Consider the following 3,012-nt stretch of genomic DNA (forward strand, 5'->3'; position numbering starts at 1 on the left):
AAACTATAGTCTCTTTCTACTACAGTTTCCTTTTTATCATGCTTCCTGTCATGTTGGGTGGCATTGGAATGCCTGCAAATATATTTTTAGATTGAGCTAAGGAGAAGTTGAGTTGTGGATATGTTTAGCTAGAATTTATAGTCACTTAAGTATATAGTCATTGCTCACTGTCCTGATTTAGAAATGCCTTCCAGAGATCTTCCTGCAAACCCACTGCGCTGACTCATGTAAAGTCATGACAGAGTAGGGCAGAGAAAGAAGTCATTAGGAAGAATTGTGGTCACTTGGTACTGGAAGTAGATGGAAATGGTTGATTAAAGTGTACCGTCCTGGAAACTAGTGTGTTAAAAACATTCTTCTAAACATCAGGATTAAGTTCTCAAAGACATATGATCAACAGTGAAGTTGTCTGGAAATATATTTGATAATGCAACATTGTATATGTGTATGCATCTATATGTGCACTATACAGTGATGCTTTTATATAGGAATCAAATGGAATTAATTAGAATTCCTTTATATTTACGACAGAACTAAAAACCGTGAGTATGCCTGTATGTGAAATATACAAGATTTATTCCTCTTAATATAGTGATTATTTATTGGTGTACCTGGCACAATTTATCTTGACAAAGTCTGGTGGTTCCAAATGAAATATCATAAACAATTGCCACTGTCATCACAACAGGGGTCTAAATATGATATAATTGTAACATATGTATAAACACAGCAATATGCAACATATAAATATGATTACATGTTTGTGTAGCTTTATTAAATATTTTGACAATTTAAACATATATTTGAACTGCTTTTGTGTGGGCCTTTTCATTAATTTTGTATATATTTTCAAACTATTGATTATAAAAAAATTTGCATAGATGGAACATAATTTTCTTACTTGCAGTCAAAAATGAAAATTATGAGAATTTTTAATCATCAAAATCTCATTTATATCACAATGAAAATTACTGCTATATATGATTTTGACCAAAGAGTATCCAACAAAGAAAAATCTAGAAAACAAGTACTATGAATAGTACTAGCACTAGGTTAATTTATAGAAATATAATGCTATTTTTTCTGATTTTTACTCTGTCACTTACTAGGTGTGACCTTAGGTAAATTAACTAACTGTTTTGTACTGTAGGGCATTTACAGCAAGAAGGTGACAATAATATGTGTTAAGAGATCACATAATAAAAACACTGGACTTAAACTGACCATTTTATGAACTTGAGTCCTATTCAATCTCTCTGGTTCTTAGTTTCTTCATATACAGAATGTAGATCAAAAGCCTACATGATTACAATTGTTTTTCAAGTTTACAAAAGCATTTAATGGGAGCACATCCAGCCTGAATATAGTGGTAAAAAGTTAGCGTTTTTCTCTTTACTTCATAGCAACAAGAAAGATAAGAAACAAATTTAGGAACCAGCTAAATTGCAGCCCCCAAAGAGGGTTATGGCTGCCAAAAGCGGCAGAGATAGATCATGAAGCATACAGAAAAGAGGAAAGCAAAGACAGAAAAATTATCCACAAAAATAATTCATAATGGAAGACCCATTATAACTTTAATTAGGGATGAGCAGCACACTATGATCTAAAAATCGTAAATTCCTCATTTGCAGCCAAAAAATAATGTGGTTGTGTCAATCAATGGCAAAGACTTGCCTGGACCCATTGTCAGAGAGGCAAAGGAGACAGCCTATAGCGATGCTACATATTCTCCATTTGGCCCCTCCCCTCTTTCTCACCAACTTTGTTTCTTGGGAGGCTGATACTTTGGGTCTGCATCAACAGGACACCTGGGCCTTCTATGATAAGTTTTGGCCAATGACAGGGAATAGTAGGGCATCTAATAGAAGGAATGGGAAGACATTATAGTATTTATTATCCCACCCTGCTCCCTAACAGATTGCGTGGCAATTTCAATATGTTAAAGCTGCAGCTTCTGCCACGAAGTCCATACCTCCAAGGCCCCCTCTTTCTTCAGGCATAGAAGTGCTCTTGCTAGTCCTGGGTTGCTTCAGTTATTCTTGTCAATTCTGCTAAACCCTGCCCATACCCTTGTAAATATTTCATCCGTGTCTATTTGAGTATTCCATCTTTGTTTTCCTATTCAATATCCAATGATTCTATATTTTATGCCAGATGTAATTTTGGACATAGATCCTAAAAATGTCATTTAGTAACTGGAATACTTACATATTTGAAAAGTAATGGGTCTTTGAAAAATAAAAATGAGACACTTGAGTGGACCCAGATAAGGCTGAGAATCCCCAATTATCCCTGAATACTACTTGTGGAGAAGAGCAGTGCCTGTCTCACATCTGAGTTTTTCCTTGCATAAATGCATTCTAATGACTTTGACTAGAGCAGTTGTCTCACAAAGGGATGACAGTTCTCTGTAGTACCTACTCATTGTCTCCCAGCCACTATTTAAATTAATGTTTCTCAAAGCCCAGATAGAGAACTACCAACCTGGCCCAGAAGGTGTCTATATATTGAAAGAGTTGCAGACTCTTACCAATTTTTGTTGGCAGGAGATGGGGTTCCATGTGGAATAGTAGATTTTAGGGATATTAGACTAACAAAGAGGAAGTAAAGCCTTGTCTTAATGATATTTGATTTAATGCATTGGATAAAAAATTGTGAGTGACATTAATAGTCTCTATGCTAGATAATTGATGTTTGACTCAATAATGAAGGCCCAATTTGTGGTCAGGCATTCTTTACTCGATCATACTCCACAGAAGGGTCTGGAATCCATACCCCTCAGCATTAAGAAATGCTGAAGAAACTAAGAAATGTGTTAAGTAATGGGGAAAAGGAAAGAACACCAGCACTTCTGAGAATCTCTGGGTTTTCATTCTTTCTAATAAGAAATGATTATGGAAGATGTTTCAGTGGAATTGGGATCCCTGCTTTCAATGGAAATAATAAGCATTTTGAGCAGTAGAAGCCAGTTGTTAGCACTTAACCTTCTAAGAGCCCAGTAGAATAAATGGT

The 3,012-nt window shown here is 35.4% G+C and overlaps 1 annotated feature.

Annotated features, from left to right (window-relative positions):
- Window positions 2,100-2,601: an enhancer, noted in NCBI's record as "NANOG hESC enhancer chr4:135615182-135615683 (GRCh37/hg19 assembly coordinates)". NCBI's record gives its function as "activates a minimal SCP1, AML or CMV promoter by ChIP-STARR-seq in naive H9 embryonic stem cells {active_cell/tissue: H9 hESC(naive)}" and the evidence as "EXISTENCE:reporter gene assay evidence [ECO:0000049][PMID:30033119]".

This window comes from Homo sapiens, chromosome 4 (genome assembly GCF_000001405.40).
Source record: "Homo sapiens chromosome 4, GRCh38.p14 Primary Assembly".
In the NCBI taxonomy this organism is placed as follows: domain Eukaryota; kingdom Metazoa; phylum Chordata; class Mammalia; order Primates; family Hominidae; genus Homo; species Homo sapiens.